Raw genomic sequence first — 22,335 nt, 5'->3', positions numbered from 1 at the left:
GAGTGTCTAGTATAAGAGAGCTTCATTTTCTTCATTTCCTATAGTAGAAACTAAAACTAACTTTAGTGGAAATATAGAAATATCAAAAGACACAGGCTACAAAAAGTTGAAGGTAGTTGTGTCTAGGGAGCTGGAATAGGGATGGGAAGAAGTCTATCAGGAAACTGCTAGGCTCTATTGATGCTGCTGCTGCTGCTGTTTTTGTTTTTATAATCATGTGGTACTACTTGACTTTCAACATTATACACATGAATTACTTTGATAAAAATTAAACGATGTTGGATTATTGGCATAGGAAGAACCAATATGTTGTTATATAAAACAGCTAGATTAGCAAATAGAATTTATGAAACATGTGTAATATTGTGTGTATGCTTGGGTATGTCTGTATACATGTATAAAAAGAAAAAAAAACTTGAGTAATACACCAAAATGTTCACACAGCTTATCCTGTAGAATTGTGAATAACTTTCATTTCTTTAAATAAATCTTTCCATAATATCAGAATGTTCTATCATGAGTATATAACATTTTACATATTATTCTAGAAAATGGTGGGAGTTATTTTCACTATGGTAAGAAAAAAACACCTTGAGAAGTATTTATATTATAAATAGTTAGAAAAATAAATTGCCATGTTTGAATAGCATATGAATTTATTATTTTTATTACATGTTTTCTACTCATTTGTTAAACCAACAGCTTGTCAAACAACTTCATCTGTACTGCTTGAATACATTTATCCAGTCCCGGGCACTGAGTGTTGAATTTCCAGAAATGATGTCTGAAGTTATTGCTGCACAATTACCCAAGATATTGGCAGGGATGGTGAAACCCCTTCTCTTTCATAAAAAGTGAATGTCATCTTTTTCTTTTAAAGAATTAAATTTTGTGGTATGTCTTTTTGTTTTGGTCAGGATTATGAGGTCTTGAGTTTTTATAATGTTCTTCTGAAAGCCTTACATTTATAACATCATAGTGTGTAAATTTAAAAGAAAAATTGTGAGGTTCTAATTATTTTCTTTTATAAAGTATAATTAGAATGTTTAACTGTTTTGTTTACCCATATTTTCTTGAAGAATTTACAAGATTGAAAAAGTACTAAAATTGTTAAAGTAAACTATCTTATCCATATTATTTCATACCATGTAGGTGAGGATTTTTAACTTTTGCATCTAACAAATCATCGACTTAAGAGAAAAAATCTTACATGTAATAACACAAAGCTATTATATGTTATTTCTAGGTAACTCCCTTTGTGTCAATTATATTTCCAAAAATGAACCTTTAAAATGGTATGCAAAATTTTGTCTATATATATTTGTGTGAGGAGGAAATTCATAACTTTCCTCAGATTTTCAAAAGTATTTTTAATGCAAAAAATGTAGAAAGAGTTTAAAACCACTAAAATAGATTGATGTTCTTCAAACTAGGCAAAACAACTCATATGTTAAGACCATTTTCCAGATTGGAAACACAAATCTCTTAGGAAGTTAATAAGTAGATTCATATCATTATGCAAATAGTATTGTGGGTTTTGTAGGTTTTTAAAATAACCTTTTTTGGGGAGAGAATTGTCCTCTAATGAGGTATTGCGAGTGGACATAAGAAATCAGAAGATTATGGCCTAACTGTACTCCTTACCAACTGTGGCATGCTGAAAGTTAGTCACTCTTACTGATTCTCAATTCTCTCACCTTTGAAAGTAGTAAAATATCTTTCCTGCCAATTGCTCCTTTGGGTCAGAGCTTATTAACATCTTTTCAAATCAAAGGAAAGAAGAAAGGGAGAGGAGGAGGAGGGAGGTATCAATTCACATACCTTTCTCCTCTTTATCCTCCACTATCATGAATTCATATTATGTTTCAGCCATGCAAATCTTTTTACCATGAAATTTCTTCCAGAATTTTCCCCCTTTGACACAAATTCCATGCATGTTTCAACCTTCGAGACTCAGCCAAATGTCATTTCTGTAAAATCTTCCCTGAGTCTTCCAAGCAGTAATTTGCCTTCTCCTAGAGTTTACCTGCCATTTTGTGCACATTTGAGTTACAGTAGCATGTTATTTTACAATTGTGACTCTCCTGGGAGTCTGGGAGCCATATAAAGTGGTCAATAGTGTTTGCTGACTGAGAGTTGAATGACATTTTCTCTCTGTCTTGGTATTACTGTAGATTTCGATCATTCTTTGGTTACATTTCTGCATATTTCTGTACCCATGACTTTATCACTTTCTTCTCCCATGCTTTATCTCCATCAATTATCTTCATTACTTTTAAATTTTCCACCTTTGCTTCCTACTTTGTGAGATCTCTCCCTTTACTGACTATAACATAGAAGAATAGAAGTGTATTTTATGTGTCTTAAGGACAATACTTTAGATTCCTTGTTCTAAGTTTTTAAACTGAATGAATGGAATATTATTTCTCTCCCTAAGCAAAATTCCACAAAACAATTATTTCTTATGTTTATGTAGCCTTAAATTGTTTTGTACTGTAAACCTCAGCATAAAAACTTTCTTCATTTCTAATTTCATTCAACAAATATTGATTGAATACCTGGTATTAGCACAAGAAAAATGTGCTAATAAGCCTTATGAGAATTTGGAGCTGAAGAAAGACATATAACTCAGGAAAGTTACAGTCCAGTAGTAGGTATAAATTACAGTGCCTGATAAATAGGCATTTTAATATTTGTACACTCAACGTATACTAGGTAGGTGCAAAACATTTACATATAATTTTACTGATACCCATGCAGCACAAAGGTACTAACTTTAAATATTAAATAACACCTTTATGTGTCAGTAATTCATTTGCATTAAATCTTATTGAAAAGGCTTTCAATATATTTTCCCCACAAATGTCATCCCAAGAAAAAAGTATTTTTAACATCTCCCAAATATAATAGTTACAGGAAATCTACCTCTGTGAGAGTGACACCTCTCAGAATGAACTGTGTGACACAAGAAAATGAATGTAGGTCTATCCAAAAAAAACCCCAAGAAACAAAAACAATATTATTAGCCCTTTATGCTTAAGTGATGGACTCAGGGAACAGTTGATGTTGTGATCATTTTATTATCTGATTCTTGTTACTTTGAATTAAACCAATATTTTGATGATATAAATCATTTCCACCAGCATATATTTAATTTCCATAATAACTTTAAAATTTTCTAATTTCACTCAACTATGAGGGAATAGAATGTGGTGGCCACAGGTTTGGCTTTTGTTAAAATGTTTGATATCTTCGATGTTGATCTCTGTCTGCAATGTAGATGTCTAAACACTAGGATTTAATATTTAAGGCTAAGCTTTAAAAATAAAGTACCTTTTTAAAAAGAATATGGCTTCACCAAATGGAAAATACCTAATTTCTAAATCTTTTTCTCTACAAAGTCCTATCTACTAATGTCTCCATTACTATTTAGTCATCATAACCATTATCTTCATTTTACATGTCGTGTTCTTTCTGGTAGCTCTAAAATGACACTAAATCATAAGAAGACAGGTTACATATCAGGAAATACTTGAAGGTTACTGAAATAGATTCTTGAGTTAATGAAAATATTTTCTGTAAAAAGGTTTGAAAAGCCATTTGAGTCTAAAGCATTATACCTCCATTATCAGTAGTTATGTGACAATTGTGTGTGTGTTTAATGTTTAAAGATGTGGCACTTTTTAATAAGGCAATGCTATGCTATTTTTTCCCATTTAACATTAAGATAATTTATTGCTATACAGATGATATGGAAATATGATGAACAATATTTTTTTTGCCAAAACTATGCCTTGTAAGTAGCCATGGAATGTCAACCTGTAACTTAAATTATCCACAGATAGTCATGTGTTTGATGATGGGCACTGTGGAGATAACTGACATAGGACTGTGCCCCCCTTCTCTGCCACTTACTAGCTGGATGAGATTAAGCAAGTCATTTAACTGCTCTGATTAAACCTGCCTTTCCCAAGTGCTTTGTAATGAATAGAAATGGAAACCAAAAAAAACGTATACAGGCCTTCAGAAATAGTAATTGCTACTATTTTGTTTTCATTAAGCCATAGTTCTGGCTATAATTTTATCAAACTCACCAGCTATATTCTACAGTGAAAGCAGGATTCTAGAAAGTCTCACTGTTTTATTTATGTCACCATGTGCTATGATATATTTGGTTGAATTCATTTGAAATTAGGGCTGGAAGTATTCAAGTAATTTCTTCTGCTGAAAAAATACAGTGTTTTGAGTTTAGGGCCTGTTTTATCAAAGTTCTAAAGAGCCTATCACTCTTCCATTGTAGACATTTTAAAATAATGACACTGATTTTAACATTTTTAAGTGTCTTTTTAGAACAGAGAGCCTGACTAGAACACAGCCCCTCCAAAAACCCATGCTCAAATTATTTTTACTATGGCAGCAATTCCACAAAAGGGAACAATGGGTTTAGAAATTACAATGAAGTCATCAACCCAAAAAACATCCCTATCCCTAAGAAGGTTATGATATAAAATGCCCACAAGAAATCTATGTCTGCTTTAATCTGTCTTTTATTGCTTTGGAAGGATGGCTATTACATTTTTAGTTTTTGCTGTGAATACCTGAGCAGTTTCTCTCATCCATACTTATCCTTCACACATCAGAAGTCAGGATAGAATATGAATCATTTTAAAAACTTTTACAACTCCAGAGCCATGTGCATAAGAAGCATTCAAAACTTGCCAAAACATACATTTTTTTTCAAATTTAAAGATACTCTATTTTTGTATTCAATAGCTCAACAACTGTGGTCCCCACTGATAAAGTGAAGTGGACAAGGAGACAAGTAATGGCATAAGTTTGTTTTTCCCAAAGTATGCCTGTTCAATAGCCATTGGATGTGGGAAATTTCTACATCTCTTAAAATTTTACAGAAAATACATAGCCAGATAGTCTAGCAAAAGTTCACCAAGTCCTAAATTGCTTATCCTTACTTCACTAAGTCATGAAATCATTTTAATGAAAAGAACATCACCTAGGTTTTGTGGTTTCTTTTTTTCTTATTCATGGCTGAGTGAAAACAACAATCTCTGTTTCTCCCTAGCATCTGTGGACTATTTAATGTACCATTATTCCACACTCTATGGTCCTTACTAAATACAAAATTGAACAAAAAGCAGTAAAACAACTGACTCTTCACCCATATTATAAAATATAATCCAAGCCAGATTAGTCAACATCCATAAGATGAATCCAAGCTGAACTGGGCCTAGATTATTGAGTTCAGGTTGGATCACATCCCTATTTATTAATAAACTTAGGAAAGAAGGCCTTACAGACCATCAGTTAGCTGGAGCTAATAGAACCTACACTTCTAAAGTTCGGCCTAGAATCAATGTGGCCTTAAAAGCTGAAAAGAAGCAGGAAAGAACAGTTTTCTTCAATAATTTGTCCACCCTGTCACTGGAGAAAATTTAAGAATTTGGGGGTGTTGGTAGTAAGTTAAACACAGCAGCTGTTCATGGCAGAAATTATTCAATACATACCTTCTCTGAATATCCTATAACCAAAGCAAAGAAAAACACCAAGGGGTTTGTTCTCCTCCTTGGAGTTGACCTCATTCCAAGGCAGAGCTCAGGTCACAGGCACAGGGGCTGCGCCCAAGCTTGTCCGCAGCCTTATGCAGCTGTGGAGTCTGGAAGACTGTTGCAGGACTGCTGGCCTAGTCCCAGAATGTCAGCCTCATTTTCGATTTACTGGCTCTTGTTGCTGTATGTCATGCTGACCTTATTGTTAAACACAGGTTTGTTTGCTTTTTTTCCACTCATGGAGACATGGGAGAGGCATTATTTTTAAGCTGGTTGAAAGCTTTAACCGATAAAGCATTTTTAGAGAAATGTGAATCAGGCAGCTAAGAAAGCATACTCTGTCCATTACGGTAAAGAAAATGCACAGATTATTAACTCTGCAGTGTGGCATTAGTGTCCTGGTCAATATTCGGATAGATATGAATAAAATATTTAAATGGTATTGTAAATAGTTTTCAGGACATATGCTATAGCTTATTTTTATTATCTTTTGAAATTGCTCTTAATACATCAAATCCTGATGTATTCAATTTATCAGATATAAATTATTCTAAATGAAGCCCAGTTAAATGTTTTTGTCTTGTCAGTTATATGTTAAGTTTCTGATCTCTTTGTCTATGACGTTTACTAATCTGCATTTTTACTGTTATGAATTATTTTAGACAGCAGTGGTTTCAAGCTTTTTGCCACTAAAAATACCTTTTATTTTCTCCTCCCCCAGAAAAGTCTATACCTTGAAGTATCTATCCACCAAACTGTACTTCTATTAAGAAATAGTTATTGTGTTTTCTTAATGTTTTGTTATTCAAAGACATATCAATGAAAGCTGCTGAGCAGCATGAATAACAATTATATCCACACAGATTTGATATATTTTGTGCAGCCTTAACTTGATAGTATAAAATGTCATTGCTTTTTAAATAATAGTTAGTCAATGGACTTCTATCATAGCTTTCCTAAACTAGGTTAAGATCCAGAGCTTTGGGGTCATAATATATTACATACAATTAAGTTATCTTTTTCTAAGGGCTTTAAAATTCATGAGAATAACCAAAAAAGGTATGTGGAGAGTTAATACAAACATACCATATTCTTGTTGAAACAGAGATGTGGCTCTGCTTGTTCTCCATAAGGTAGAAATACTTTCCAGAATTTGCCTAAACTAGTAAGCCCTGAATTTGCTATGATTAGGGATAGGAAGAGATTTTCACATGGCAGACTTTAGAATTCTTCACTTTAGCCAGTAAAGTATCTCCTTTTGATCTTAGTATTCTGTGTATTTTAACTTTTCTGAGTTGTGCATGTTTATAAGAAAAATCAGCACAAAGGGTTTAAGTTAAAGCCTTTTTACTGAAATTTGAAAGAAACAGAAGAAAATATCAAAGTTCTTTGTATTTTGAGAGGATTAAATATGATTTACAAAAGTTACATGGAGGGCTCTCTAAAACATTAAATTAATTATTTTTTGTTGAAAAGTCTTACTTTAGGCATCATTTTATTCCTCAGCAACTAGCTGTGAAGCCTTTACTGTGCTGTATGCCAGTCACTCTGCTAGATTGTGGAGATTACCAGTGTTCCCGTCTTCTCCGAGCTTAGAGTTGGATGGGGAATAAAGACAGGTAAACAGATAGCTACAATATTGTACTGTGAATGCTTATGCTGGAGGAAGTACAGGGAACTATTGGAGCACCTAAGAGGAGCACCTACCTTGAATTTAGGGGTTAGCAGAGGCATCCTGAAAAAAGTCAAAGCTAAGCCACAATCTATAAGCAGTTTAGGAATTAGCAGAACGTGCGTGGTGAGGAGATGCCAAAGGCAAGAAGAGAAGAGTATTCCAAACAGGAGGGATTCCAAAGAGAGAAGAGTATCCCAAACAACATTTGCACAAACCTGATGGGGAGAGAGAATGTGGGGTGGGGATGGATGATGAGACTGAAGAAGAAAGCCAGGTCTAGATAATCAGTGGCCTTGTACACCATGTTAAAGAGTGTAGACTTGATTCTGTTGTAAACAGGAAAGCAGCACAATTCATATGAATATTTTAGAAGACTCCCACTGGAATATGGAGAATAAAGTTGGAGATGACTAATCCTGGAAGCAGGGAGAACATTTTTGAGGAAGTTGCACTATTTTGGTGAAAATGATGATCATAAACATGAAGAATTGTAGGTGATCATGACCTCCTCTCTAATTTTCCAGAAGGGTTTTGGAAGATATAACATAGGAACATTGACAGGACTGACGAAAGGAGATGAAATACACCATATAAATTGTCAAACACAAGGCCAGATGTCTAATTATTTTGCTTATGTGTTGAAATTACAAATTTTTCATCAGGAAACCAAAAACTACAAAACTTAGTTTTCCCAAGTCCCAGAATTCTATCTGTCCAAACAATCTGTACCACTCCACCTATATCCCTACCTTTGCATGTCTGTCCAACCTCAAAGTCCAGGTCTATACACACGGGTAAGACTAGAGCAGTTCAAGTTTCAGAAAATGAGAAAGAGGAACTGAGTTGTGCTGAACCCATACAAAATAAACACATTCTTTGTATAGATTCTTGGAACCTCGAGAGGAATTCACCTAACTCATAGGTATTTGATGGTATGAATCCATGGCTGGGCTCGGCTTTTAAAAAGCCTTATCTGGGATTCCTTCTATGGAACCAAGTTCCATCAAAGCCCATTTAAAAGCCTACATTAAAAACAAAATTCTTGCTGCATTGTATACAAATAATGATGTCATGATCAAATAATCAGATGCCATTATCAAGTGGAATTACAAAATGGTATACCCACTCCAAAAAAAAAAAAAAAGCTAAATTCTCAGTAGAACATTGTGACTTCATGAGCCCTCCACAGCCTTGGAGCTGAGGAGGGAGCACTGGTGAGCAGTAGGTTGAAGAGAAAACTTGGCGCTTAATAATCTATCCATGTTTTTTCATCTAAAAGAGCCTTCTTTTTGGATTACCTTATTCAATTTCCATCAAGGAAATTGTTAGTTCCACTAACCAGACAGCAGCTGGGAAGGCAGAAGCTTACTGTATGTACATGGTAGCTGTGGGAAGGAGGTTTCTTTCTCCAGGTCCTCACTGGCCATACACCAGTCCCTTGTTAGTTATGCCTGGTCATAGACCCCCGTTGCTATCATCTCATATTTAAGTCTTTGGCTTGTGAATTTATCTATTCTTTCAGCTTCAGCACTGCAGAGTGCTGGGACTTTGCTAACTTCCATTTCTTGCTGGCTTAGCACATTCCTCATAGGCCCAGCTCTTTTCTCATCTGGCCCTGCTGTGGAGTCACCTTGCCCCTTCAGGAGAGCCATGGCTTACCACTGCCTGCTAAGCCTCCACTCAGCTGCCACCACACTAAATCCAAGCTTCTCTAAGATGTTGCAGACTTTACAGGCAAGCATAAAAGGCTTGATCTTCCTGGACTTCCCTTTACTTGTCTGAATCTCACCTCCTTCAACTTTCAGTCTCAGAATGTAGGCATTTGTCCTCTTTGCCCTACATCTTCCTTCTTCTGAATCATGAAAGCCTCTCACTTCCTCTTGCTATGTGCTGGAGGCTTCTGTCAGGTTTTAGAATGAGTTCTCATCTAGTCCTAGTAGCTTTTGATGCTTAAGTCCACCTTTTAAGGATACCTTTGAGATTTAGACCATGTTTTTCGCTTGAGAAAGCCCTAATCTCCAGACTTGCCTTTCTGTGGATTTCAAAGACCAACTGAGGAAGTCAAAAGCTGAATGTTGACTTTCTTTGAACATTTCCGCTATAACAATTCCAATTCTCCTCAGAGCAATATGCCTGCCTCCAACTGACCAGGAGAAAGGTCCAGTGCCAAAGAGAAAAACACAAAGATTAATTATTTCAGTTGAGCACATACTTTCAAAGTGGTTTGGGTATTCATATGAGGTTTTCTGTCAAGAGGGTGAGACTCTTCATCTATCCATGTGTGCCTGACAGTTCTCCTGGCACTGGCTGGTAACAGATGCAAAACTGTAAAAATTAAGTGATCATGTATTTTAACGATATCATCACATACTTATTTTCTATGTAATGTTTTAAATTTCCCCTAACATACTTTGACTGTTTTGCACATGGTAGATATTCACATTTTTTTGTGTTGAAGTTGATGCAATCTTCAAAGTTATCTACCCCGTTGCTTATTAGTAAAACTAGTGTTAATACTTGGCAAGAGATGCAGGGAATCTTTCTCATGACTCACGCCCTATTTAGTTATTAATGCTACTACCCTATTTTGAGTAAGTAGTAGGTCCCTAAGTACATTGTCCAGAGTTATACTTTTAAAGATATTTAGCCCCATATACTTCTTGAATCTAAAGTCATACACCTTGCTCCTCATTTCTGAGTGGGAAAGACATTTGAGAGTATGTTGACAATTGTTCTGAAGGTTTTTGCCAAGAAGGTGAAACTGTCCTTTCATCTGTGTATGCCTGGGGCTGGGTCCCTGGCAGTGATGGGGTGACAATGCAAAGCTGTAAAAACTAGGTGCTAGTGGGCACCTAATATCATCATCATATACTTATTTTCAAGCTAATATGCAAAATCCCATCTCTGTTTTTAAACTAAGTGTAGATTTCAGAGAAAATATTTTGTGGTTCACATAAGAAAACAGTCTACTCAGCTTGACAAGTGTTTTATGTTAAATTGGCTGGTGGTTTGAAATGAATCATCTTCACATAATGTTTTCTTTAAAAATATTGTGAATTTAACTCTAATTCTTGTTATTCTGTGTGATAATAAAGAATAAACTAATTTCTATATCTCTCTTTATTAATGAATTATAGCATCTAAAACCTCAATACAATTACATACAAGACACACACTAATCATCAGTAGTACATTCTTTACCAGTCATTTAAAATTTATAACCAACATTTCAATTTGTACAATACTGTATGTGGCATAAGGTGAGATATTTATATGGAAGATTTGGCATTATAGAGAAAATATCCTTGACTGGGTATGCATTTTAGCAAAGCAAAGAGTGATTCTCAGGCAATCAAGTTGAAACCAACTACACAGTGTTTCAATCAGAAAGACAAAATACAATCAACTGACATCTAGTGAGATTCAATAATATACTGTTTTGGCTATTCACATTGATTAAAAAGTTTGGTATTATACAAGAATTTTCATATGAAATTTAATGCATTTCACATTAAGGTGAATGATATTCTACTTGTAATAACAAAGTATTTCAGACTACATTGGTTTCATTACTAGGAATATAATTTAGTATAGCTCTAGAAATATACAAATATGCTCCTTTAGTAAATAAAATAAATGCCTAAATTCTATAAGGAACTGATGCAGGCAAACCCTAAAATGGGGGCTCAGCTTGGGAGGATTTTTGGCTTAATTCAGAAAAGAATTCAAGAGGGAACCCACAGTGAAAGAAGCCAAGTTTATTGGAGCAACAGCATCCAGCAAAATGGCTACTCCACAGGCAGAGTAGCCCTCGTGGGTTGCTGGCTAGCTATATGTATACCAACTCTTAATTATATGCTAAATATGAGGTCTGTTATTCACAGATTTTCTGGAAAAGCTGCAGGGAGTTCTTGGAACTATATAACTTAATTTCTGGGTGTTCCCATGGCATTTGTAAAGTGTCATGGTGCTGGTGCAGTGTCTCATAGCCTGCAGATGCATTATAATTTCTAGTCCTAGCTGATTTGGGCCAGTTTCTTAGCTACATCCTGTTTTTGATCAGCAGGGTCATGAAAACAAGTCCTGGTGATCTTTTACCTCAGAACCATGTTAGGTCTTGGAGACACAAAGATAAATGAGTGGAACAGGATTCTTGCTGTAAGTTTGAGTTGATACAATGCCACATATTATTGTTTGAAATGTCAAAATACTTGTTTCTTATTGAATCAACTAGATTTGGAATAGACTGGAAAATCTGGAAAGCTTTATTGGATCATTTTTCCTATCACTTAAACACTATTTTTTCCTGGTTAATACCATGTTTTCGGTTTTTAAAACATGCCACCATATTCAGATTTACAAATGTAAATACGGTTGAGAAACTTCGTATTTACCTATGAAACAACATGCTGTTTTTTATAAATACTTGATTCTGATGGTTGGTGGAGTTTTTCCAATCAAAGTTAACTAATGAATAAAGAGAAAATGTGGCAAGTGGCTGTGAATGTCAACGCACATGAGACTTTTCCCTTGTGTCACTATATGTCACTGTATGGAGTCACTATAACAAACTAAGAGTATAGCTCTCTCTACACTAATCATGAATAAATACTTAATATCAAAGATCAAGTTTTTTAAAGCTATATTTTAATGGCAGGAGGTTGTATTTACCTAATCAGATGAAGTTTAATCCCATCTTATAAATGATTGAATCCAAACAAGTAGAATAACTATAATATGCAGAGATCCATGACCAGTTATTTGTGAGCAATTTGGAATTCATAAAGCTTAAACAACTTAGGTACTCTATGAAAAAGCAAAGTATTTTTATGTCTGAATTATGTCAGCTACCCGTAATTATGCTGTGATATAAGAAAGCAGTATAGTAAGAATATATGCTCTGGAGCTACACCTTCTCAATCTCATTTCAGGCTGTACCACTTGCTAACTATGTGACCTTGCAACATACTTTCACTCTCTGCCTTAGTTTTCTTATCTGTAAAATGGATATAACAATAGTACTTGTTTCATAGGGTTGTTATAAGGATGAAATCAGTATAAGAAAAATAAACTTAGAGCAGTGTGTGACATAGCAAGCACTATTTTGGTGTTTCATCCAAATTAAGTGGCTTTTTCCTTAATACATAAATGATTAAAGGTACAAAAGATATTAAACTTTTTTTTTTTTTTTTTGAGATGGAGTCTTGCTCTGTCACCCAGGCTGGAGTGCAGTGGCACGATTTCGGCTCACTGCAACCTCCACTTCCCGGGCTCAAGCGATTCTCTTGCCTCAGCCTCCCAAGTAGCTGGGACTACAGGTGTACACCACCAGGCCCAGCTAATTTTTGTATTTTTAGTAGAGACAGGGTTTCACCATGTTGGCCAGGATGGTCTCAATCTCCTGACCTTGTGATCTGCCTGCCTTGGCCTCCCAAAGTTCTGGGATTACAGGTGTGAACCACTGCACCTGGCCTAAACTTTTATATTATATAAACTAGTAAAAATAATTTTTAATATTTTAGGTCATGGGAAATTCAGCAGCATAGTAATTATCAAAGTAGTAAATTTTTTCAGCAAAGGAGGTCAAGGATAGACTGTTACAAGTGAAAAAAATAGGATATTAATCAACAAAATTCTCAATCTGAATAGCCACAATTTTTCAGTTTCTGTACCTGAAATAGTTTCTGCATGGGACAGATTGGACTAACCAAATTTATCTCATTTTTATGACTCTAGCCTAACTACCCTCCCCATTAAATAATGTTTTTAAGTATATACAAAGGGAAAAAAACAACTTTTTGAATTATGAGATATACTGAATAAAACAATAATGAAAAAGCTATTTATAAAATAGTTAAGATTAGATTATAAATCTAAAGTTGTATTTTCTTGGCCCTAAAGGACTCCAATATTGTTTACATCTCAAATTATTGGCCGGGTGCGGTGGCTCACGCGTGTAATCCCAGCACTTTGGGAGGCCGAGGCGGGCAGATCACCTGAGGTCAGGAGTTCGAGACCAGCCTAGCCAACATGGTGAAACCCCATCTCTACTAAAAACACAAAAATCAGCTGGGAGTGGTGGTGGGTGCCTGTAGTCCCAGCTACTTGGGAGGCTGAGGCTGGAGAATCACCTGAATGCAGGAAGCAGAGGTTGTAGTGACCAGAGATCGCACCGCTGCACTCCAGCCTGGGTGACAAGTCAAAAAATAATAATAATATGAGAAGCACAAAGTAAGATCTTTACTTTGAGAAATATTGTTTTATGTAGTCCTTGTTTTGACACATGATGAACAGCTTGGAAATCTAAAATAATTCATTTTTTTTCAAATAAAATTTGACTCATGTGAATGAAATATGTTTTAAAAAGAATAAAATAAAATCCAACATTAATCACTTTTAACCTGTGTATATCATAATGTGGGTAGAATATTTATTGTTTTACATAGTGTATTTTATTTTTCTTTCCATGGCAGAAAACATTTGTCATTTTTTTTCATTGATATTTTCAAATTTTATAACATCTAAAACCAGGATGTATCCTGTAATACATGTTATCATACAATGCTATGTCCCAAGTAGGTCATATACAGTTATGTAAAAACTTTTCCTTAATACCTTGTGATAAGATTAGAAGACATCACTAGCATCAAAGTGTCTTACATTCAATTAAATACTATGTATGTATTCCTTCTTCATTAATAGAATTTCATTTTTCCTACTTCTTTTACCCTATGCTAATATCAATTCCTAATTATTAGAAACCAACAATCAATTTGAAATCAGTGTTGCTGGTTTTTTAGCTGTCACTGATTTGAGTACCTACTATGCACTAAGTCTTGTATTAGAGAACTTTACATACATTTTCCCTACCCATACAGCAATCTATACAAGCTAAACCTGAGTCACATTGTACAGAAGTTTAAGTAGAGGTTCAGAGCAGTCCACTAAACCTGAAAAATGCCAGGTGCAGTGGCTCATGCCTGTAATCCCAGCACTTTGGGAGGCCTAGGCAGAAGGATCACTTCAGGTTAGGAGTTCGAGACCAGCCTGGCCATCATGGCGAAACTCCATCTCTACTAAAAATACAAAAATTAGCCAGGCTTGGTGACGCACGCCTGTAATCGCAGCTACTTGGGAGGCTGAGGCACAAGAATCACTTGAACCTGGGAAGCAGAAGCTGCAGTGAGCTGACATCAGGCCACTGCACTACACTACAGCCTGGTCAACAGAGCAAAACTCCATCTCCCCCACAAAATTTTTTAAATTAAATAAACGAACCTGAAAAACATCGTTTGCACCATTTCTTTTTCCAAAACAAAAGAAGTTTCTGTCACAGAAAACTGGGGAGAGGGGAGTCAATGTTCTGGGAAAATCAACTATAAACAGCACTAATTTCCCAACAGCACAGCCTGTGCTAAGGAATTCATCAGAGATCAAAAGAAACTCAACTCCTCTCCTACTAAATTTGGGATTAAAAATTGCATTTAGATTTAAGTACTGGAAATATATTCTGAGACAACATTTTCTTGCAAGTAATTGACACGGTCTGTGCAGTTGGGGAAACTGTCTAGTGACAGAAGATAGCACTCTGGATTAAAGAGTTGACTGATAGCTCCTAGATCTACAGAAATTACTATAATACAGTGGTTTTTTTAAAAAAATACATACACATCTTAAAGAAAATATATCTTAAAATTTTATTCAGTGATATTAGGGAATGCTATATAAATTATGATAAATATATCATTCTTGAAAATCAAAAGTTCCTCCGATTTAACCTTTAACACTGAATCATTTGGAAAGGAATTTTTTTAAACACTTCTTTTTTTTAAATTATACTTCAAGTTCTGGGGTACACGTGCAGAACATGCAGGTTTGTTACATAGGTATACATGTTCCATGGTGGTTTGCTGCACCCATCAACCCGTCATCTACATTAGGTATTTCTCCTAATGCTATCCCTCCCCTAGCCCTCCGCCCTGGAATGTTTTTTTAATAGTTGGAACTCTGGGGATAAAATCATATTCTCAGTATTTTCATTATATTAAATAGTTCTGATATAATTGATGACTTAATGTTCTATTTCAAAGCTTCCTTATTTTATCTGAATGTTTTCATGTTTATGTAGCAGAAGGTTAAGATAAGTAACCATATAATACTTATATAAAGGTAATACAGATTTAGACACTAAGCATTTCTGTTGAAAATATTTAAAGTTGGGCCACATTTTAGACAAAGAGAAAACATGCAGGATATATCACATTTAAATTTTGAAGTTACGTCACATATATATATACATATATCATTTAATTTTTTTTTTTTTTTTTTGAGATGGAGTCTTGCTTGTTGCCCAGGCTGGAGTGCAGTGGCGCGATCTCGGCTCACTGCAAGCTCCGCCTCCCGGGTTCACGCCATTCTCCTGCCTCAGCCTCCCGAGTAGCTGGGACTACAGGCGCCCGCCACCACGCCCCCTGGCCAACTTTTTGTATTTTTAGTAGAGATGGGGTTTCACCGTGTTAGCCAGGATGGTCTCGATCTCCTGACCTCGTGATCCGCCCGCCTCGGCCTTCCAAAGTGCTGGGATTACAGGCGTGAGCCACCGCGCCCGGCCTCATTTAAATTTTAAATTCCTTAATTTGTTAAATCCATTTTAGCAGAATTGTACGGTAGAATTAGTTGTTTTTTTAAAATAAGATTTAAATTACACCAACTTGGATGATATAGAACAAGAGAAATATTTTTACTTGTCATATTTATTTTGATTTTTATAAATCTATACACATTTCCTAATGATCACAATGTTTGTAAGATGCAGTGTTCTTATTGAAACATTACTAAGTAATGAAAAATTAATCAAAGGAAAGAATAATTTTAAGATGGATCAATGTCAAGAAATAGTTTTTTGAAAAGTTTTAAGATTCACAAACCATTATTATGAATCTATTCAAGTTCTTAAATGATGTTATTAAAAAGTATGGATAGTAAGAAACATATCAACTAACTCCTCACTAAACTTGAGAAAATATAAAATAACTAAGGTAAAAATCCATAAATTACGCAACAAAATTGAAATTGAGGGGGGAAACTGCTATGCAATATTTATATTCATTTAACCAAATAATATATACATTTAGCTTTGACAAATTTTCAAGTTCTGGTACAAGTGTTTGTTTTGTTGATTTAAGAAAGGATAATTATCACTAAGAATTTCTAAAAAAAAAATAGAAAACAATAAAAACCTGGTTGATAACAGGTTATAGTATACTGGTAAAAATGGAGGTAATCAGTGAACAAGAACACAGATACCTGTGAACCTAAACAGAGATGGCCTATGTGCCAATTTCAGATACTTGTTAACAGCATGCAAATAAATACCTACAGTAAAACAAACTGCAGAACTTCACCCAGAGTTTTAAAAGATAGGTTTGTCACTGTTTTGAAAAGTAATCCACTGTGATTTTAGTAATCTATCTTTAATTCTGAGCCTCTGCATCATTATCTAACAAGCAGAGATAAATATTTTAATAAAGAGCTTTGCATTTAAATGCAATAGTGCCTATAAAATTCCTTCACAGACAAGAAAACCTTATACAAATATGACTTTTACTAAGAAATAGGTAAATACATTGCTAAACACCCTTAACAGATACAACACAACATTCTACAACATAGGTAGATGAAATTTATGAGTTTATAAATGAATAAATCTTGGGTCACCAAATATATGATTTTTCATAACCAAAATATACTAAGCTTACCAATATAGATACTTATTAGTTGAAAAGCCCAACAAACCTATATTCAAAAAAATTAGAATGCTGATCTGGTAAAGAAGTCATGGCACATGGGAGAAGGCGCTTTGTGTGGGAGTGCCTCTGGAGAATGGCATTTCAGGCCCACATGGACCTTCAACCTGTGTAGCTGAAGAGGTGGCTGTCAATGTAGACCCATGCCCCACAATGGGAGATAGATGAGGAGCTGCTTCTTAGAAAACATGTCAAAAAATGATTGTTTGCACATACCCTGAATTTTTATAATTTCCAACCTTCAAATAGAGAATGATATTCATAACTATTATGTAAGAGGTCTTCAGTTTTAAACTAATTTTGTGAAGAGAAAAATATTTTATATTCAAAGGTCATGCAAAATTTAAGAAAATCATCTTTACTGGTAGCTCAGTTAATAGAATGTTTTCTGAACAATAAATAAGCATATGTCATGAGGAAACTGACTTAAGTAGAGGTGATCCAGGGACAGGAAGGGATTATTGTTTGTTCCCAAGTTATCTGAATTGGCTATCTAAACTGGGCTGAATTCACTTTTGCTGTGTAACTACAAAGTGTGTTTCATTCAAGAAATCAAAAAATGCTGAACTTATATTCCAAGGCTATTCACACTTCACATCATTTTTATATTTTTAAAAACTTTCTTCATAATACTAAATTACATATATCATGTGGAGCTAATTTATTTAACAAGTTGTTATCCTAAGTTATTTCTACTTAAGTAGGACTTACAGTGAAATTATTCAGGGATAATAAATGGCTCTTCTTAACTCTGCATGTGTATATGCATGAGTGAAAGCAACCTAGAGAAAGATACAGTCAGGTCCCTTTTACAAAAGACAGAAAACATTACCTACCATGAAGGCTAAAATATAGGGAAAAGAGTTTGGAAGCTTGAAATGAAAAAATTTGTGTTCTAAGCTGTGTTCTGACACTTCCTATTGAGTTGGCATGAGTTACCTATAACCGTTCTGAACTTCATTTTACCTATCTGAAAAAATGGGGGTGTATGACATACATGTAATCTCAAAATTCAACATTTTTGGAAATTATAGTATTATTTACTTCATTTTCGATTATTTAACTATGCCTTATTCTTATACTGAAATCTGGGTAACGGTTTAACAGATTTTTATTTAATTTCGTTTTATAAATTCTTAGTAGTTATTGTATTTGTTTAACTTTATGCAATTTGAACCTGAATGTTTCCATTTAATTACTGGAAAATGCAAGAAACAAATAGTTCCTTTTTATTTTCTACACATCTATCAATAATCTGAAGAAATTTATGGTACTTAAAAAATTCCCCCAAATAATTTTATTCTAGTTTTGTCCATTTAATTATGAAATTGGATAGCCATAGTATATAGCACTAGTTTGATTTGTAATACTTTCAAACCTTATGCAGTTTTCCCTGAACTAAAACTTTTCATTTTTTCTATATTCTATTATCACTAAATTTTAACTACATTTTAAAAAGTAATTTTTGTTTTATCTGCAAAAACAATTTTCCTTTTGTCTATTTCCTCTCTATCCATTCCCTTTAATAAAATCTTGGTTCTGAAAAACAAGTCATGTTTTCCACTATATTTTTCTAAAATTTAATTTGACATTACTGTTCAAAATGTTAATTTGCTTTTTCTCAGCTATTTTCAGAAAAGCTCATTTTTTAAATGACTTAAAATAATAAGCAAATAGGCCAGTCACAGTGGCTCTTATCTGTAATCCAAGCACTTTGGAAAGCTGAGGAGGGTGGACCATTTGAGTCCAGAAGTTGGACACCAGTCTGGGCAATATATGGAGATCTCATCTCTATAAAAAAAATATGAAATTATTCAGGTGTGGTAGTCCCAGATTTTCAGGAGGATGAGGTGGGAGGATTACTTGATCCCGGGAGGTCAAGGCTGCAGCGAGCCATGGTCGCACAATTGCACTTCAATGCCGGTGACAGAGCAAGGTCCTGCCTCATCATCATCATCATAGTAATAACAATAATAAGCTTCACACCACACCCTAAGGATAAACTAAGTCAAACAGAAATATTTAAGTTTGTTTTATTGGTTAAAGCAGAATAGTAAAATCATTTTAATGATTTTAACATGTCAAGTTTAACAAAGTGCATGATAAATATAAAAATTAGTTGTTTAAAAATCATCTTCAAAATATGTATTTCAAATCAATAAGGTCCTCTATATTAATTTGAAAGTCACTATGTTTTGATCTGTTTTTAAATATTTTTCTGTATGGAACTTTTGAATGACATGTGAAGAACATGTACTGCTAAAGGATGTATAAATTAATTCATCTTGTAATAAACAGCAATCTTATTATTTAAAACATTAATGTTAAAATGCATTGCTAGCTCTGATATATTTATTTCCACATATCAAATTCATTATTTTTACCTATCCAAATACCACATTCTAGTATCTAAATTGGTAACTCTTATACCCAGATATGTGTTGCACTTAAAATATCTTATTGCTTATAAATATGTTTCTTCCTTTGCCTGGGTTTTTTTTGTTTGTTTGTTTGTTTGTGTTTTTTTTTTTTTGGATTCTCAATATACCGTTTAAGCTTAATTAAAACAAAAATATGGTCAAAGAGTCATAGGATGTTAGAGTTGCACAAGCCTCTAAAAATCATCTGGTCCATGGGTTCTTTATCCGTGGGGCAACAACTGGTTTTGAGGCAGTTTGAATCCCAACCCAGTCTATGCAGAATTTTAGTGTCTGTGTATGTACACATGCTTTCCATTGCTCTCATCAGCTTCTCAGAGGGGTCAGCAATGAAACACATGTTATGAAAGAAATCAATTCCATCACTTCATTTTACAAATAGAGAACTTGAGACTCAAGAGAATCTGTGACTCATCCAAGCTCACAGTGAGGTCCAGATGGGTCCAAGCACAGGAGCCTCTGCCCTGTGGAGTTAGGGTGCACCACACTCCCAGCATGTGGTTGTGTTCAACAATCTAGAAGCTCCCTGAGCCCCATACTTTAGGATGTGAGTGTGAGAGTTGGAGCAAGGTGCTGGTTCGTAGATTAAGGGGAAAAATCAGTTTTTCTTTCTGAACTTACGCCATTGTCAATACTTCACATCTGACACCAGATTCATGGAGTTTTTTCCCACAATTCTCCAATTCTCTGCAGACAACTGGGTGTCCTACGATGCAATCAATTCCAGTACTGTCTGGAGTTAGCACAGACCTCACTTGTTAAGGGCCCTGTCCCATAAGACTGCTCCCACTCCAGATGCCAATCGAAAGGGGGTGGGTTCCCAGCTTTTCCACAATTTCTATCTGACTTGGCTACAAATCAAAGGTTCCCACAACCCCACCCAGGTTCATTCCTTTGTAGAACAGCTCACAGAATTCGGAGTAACACTCATGTTTACTAGTTTAAGGTAAAGATATGATAAAGGATACAGATGAAGAGGTACATAGGGTGAGGTCCAGAAGGGTAGAAGTTCACGAGCTTCTGCCCTGTGGAGTTGGGGTGCACCACCCTCCCAGCTAGGGATGTGCTCAACAGTCCAGAAGCTTTGTGAACCCCATACATTAGGGATTTTTTTTTAAGGAGGCTTCATCACATAAACGTAATCCAATTATTAACTCCAGCTCCTCTCCCCTTTCCAGAGAATGAAATCTGAGACTCAAAGTTCCAAGTTTCTAATCACAGTTTGGTCATTCTGGTAACCAGCCCACATCTGGGGGTCCACCAAGAGTCACCTCATTAGAACAAAAAATGATCTTATTACCCAGGAAATTCTGAGGGATTTTGGAGCTCTGTGCCAAGAACCAGGCCAAACACCAAATATTAGAACAAAAGATGCTCCTAGAACCTCTATTAGGAAATCCCAAGAGTTTTAGGAGTTTAGGAGTTTTAGACTTAGGAACTGAAGGCAGAGACCAATATGTATATTTCCTATCATTTCACAAGATTGACCTCAGAATGTTATTGATCTGTAGAGCTCCCAACATAAGTGGGTTTTCAGCTAACACCCACTTGTGGCTTCCCCATAATTTGGTCTTCATAAAGTTAAAAGTGAATTTAATCTCCCATTTCAGTCAGCATCACAGTATTATTACACCATAACTATAATGTAATTAGAATTTATTATTCATATTTTATCCCTTAAAATATATATTTATGGAAAAATTGAAATGCATTTCTCATAATTCTGCAGATAAATCGAGTTATTTCAGAGCACAATAAATTTCTGACCATCCTTTTTTCTCAGTCAAAAGAAATGATAGAAGTTGTCATTTCTGCTCCACTGATCATGGTGCTTGACCTATTCACTAGTAAATATTGTGTAACCTTTTACTTTCTTATTATCTGGAGTTAGAGGTGATATAAAATAAATACAAAAGTCAGAATAAAGTTTAATAAAGATTTATCAATTTCCTAACATTATATCTCATCTATGTCTGTCATTCATTTTTGTCATTCACTATTTTTGAAAAAAACTTAGTACAAAAAATATAGAATGAATAGAAATATAATATAAAATGAATAGACAAATGATTTCTATAAGATACATTCTGCTTCGAAATGCTCCAAAACATAGTTAGTAGGATTGGAAACAGAATTAAACAACTTTGTCTTCTAAAAGTGACCATTATTTTTTAAAAATCCAATCATCAAAATAGAAACATATTTTAAAGAATGATGACCTAAATTGGCTTTAAATGATTAGAGAGAATGGAATAGAAAATATTTCTTCTGAGCAAACAAGGACCGGAAATAACGACAGAAAGAAATGTCCCTCAGTGTTCCCTAAAGAGTAACCAATATATATTGAGCTCCTATTATGTGCCATTCAGGAACTTGTAGGATTATCTAAGTAAAAAACTGAAAAACAGAGCTCATACTCAATTAAATCATGGACTTGTTAGAGATGAAGAATATTACACATATGAGCAGAATTCAGGGAAATTTAAGCCATAATATAAATACATCTTAAATCATAGGCTTCAATTCTAGTGTTAGAGTTCAGAGAAGGGAGAAGGTGGTATAGACCAAAGGAATGAAGTCTGGAGCTGATAGAGGTTTGGGTTGGATAGTTTGACCAAATATAAAATAGCAAGTCAAAGTTACAGCATGAAACTCCTCAGAGTTGCAAATTTTCTTCAAAGTCTTTGGAGAACAAGGGCAATGAAAAAGCCAACTAAAAATAGAAAAAGTGCCTACATGTGTAGTTGAGAAATTTATATTATAAAAACCACAGCAAATTGGATTGAGCAAAAAAAAGAAGAGACATAGACATTTATCTTAAGTAGGACAACTACCATGTTTTGGCAGTGTCA

The 22,335-nt window shown here is 34.6% G+C and overlaps 1 protein-coding gene across 7 annotated transcripts in view; it reads left to right on the top strand.

Annotated features, from left to right (window-relative positions):
• PGR (progesterone receptor) overlaps positions 1–10,350 on the top strand; it is a 100,190-nt gene extending 89,840 nt beyond the window's left edge. For all 7 annotated transcript variants that reach the window (NR_073142.3, NR_073143.3, NR_073141.3 and 4 more), the window contains one exon: positions 703–10,350. Coding sequence is in view for 4 of the 7 variants with exons in the window: in NM_001271162.2 (NP_001258091.1) it covers positions 703–858 (156 nt within the window). In the remaining 3 variants the exon portion in view is untranslated. The remainder of the gene's footprint in view (positions 1–702) is intronic.

This window comes from Homo sapiens, chromosome 11 (genome assembly GCF_000001405.40).
Source record: "Homo sapiens chromosome 11, GRCh38.p14 Primary Assembly".
Taxonomy (NCBI): domain Eukaryota; kingdom Metazoa; phylum Chordata; class Mammalia; order Primates; family Hominidae; genus Homo; species Homo sapiens.
The sequence above is the reverse complement of the archived record's forward strand: the minus strand, read 5'-3'. Positions and strand labels throughout refer to the sequence as shown.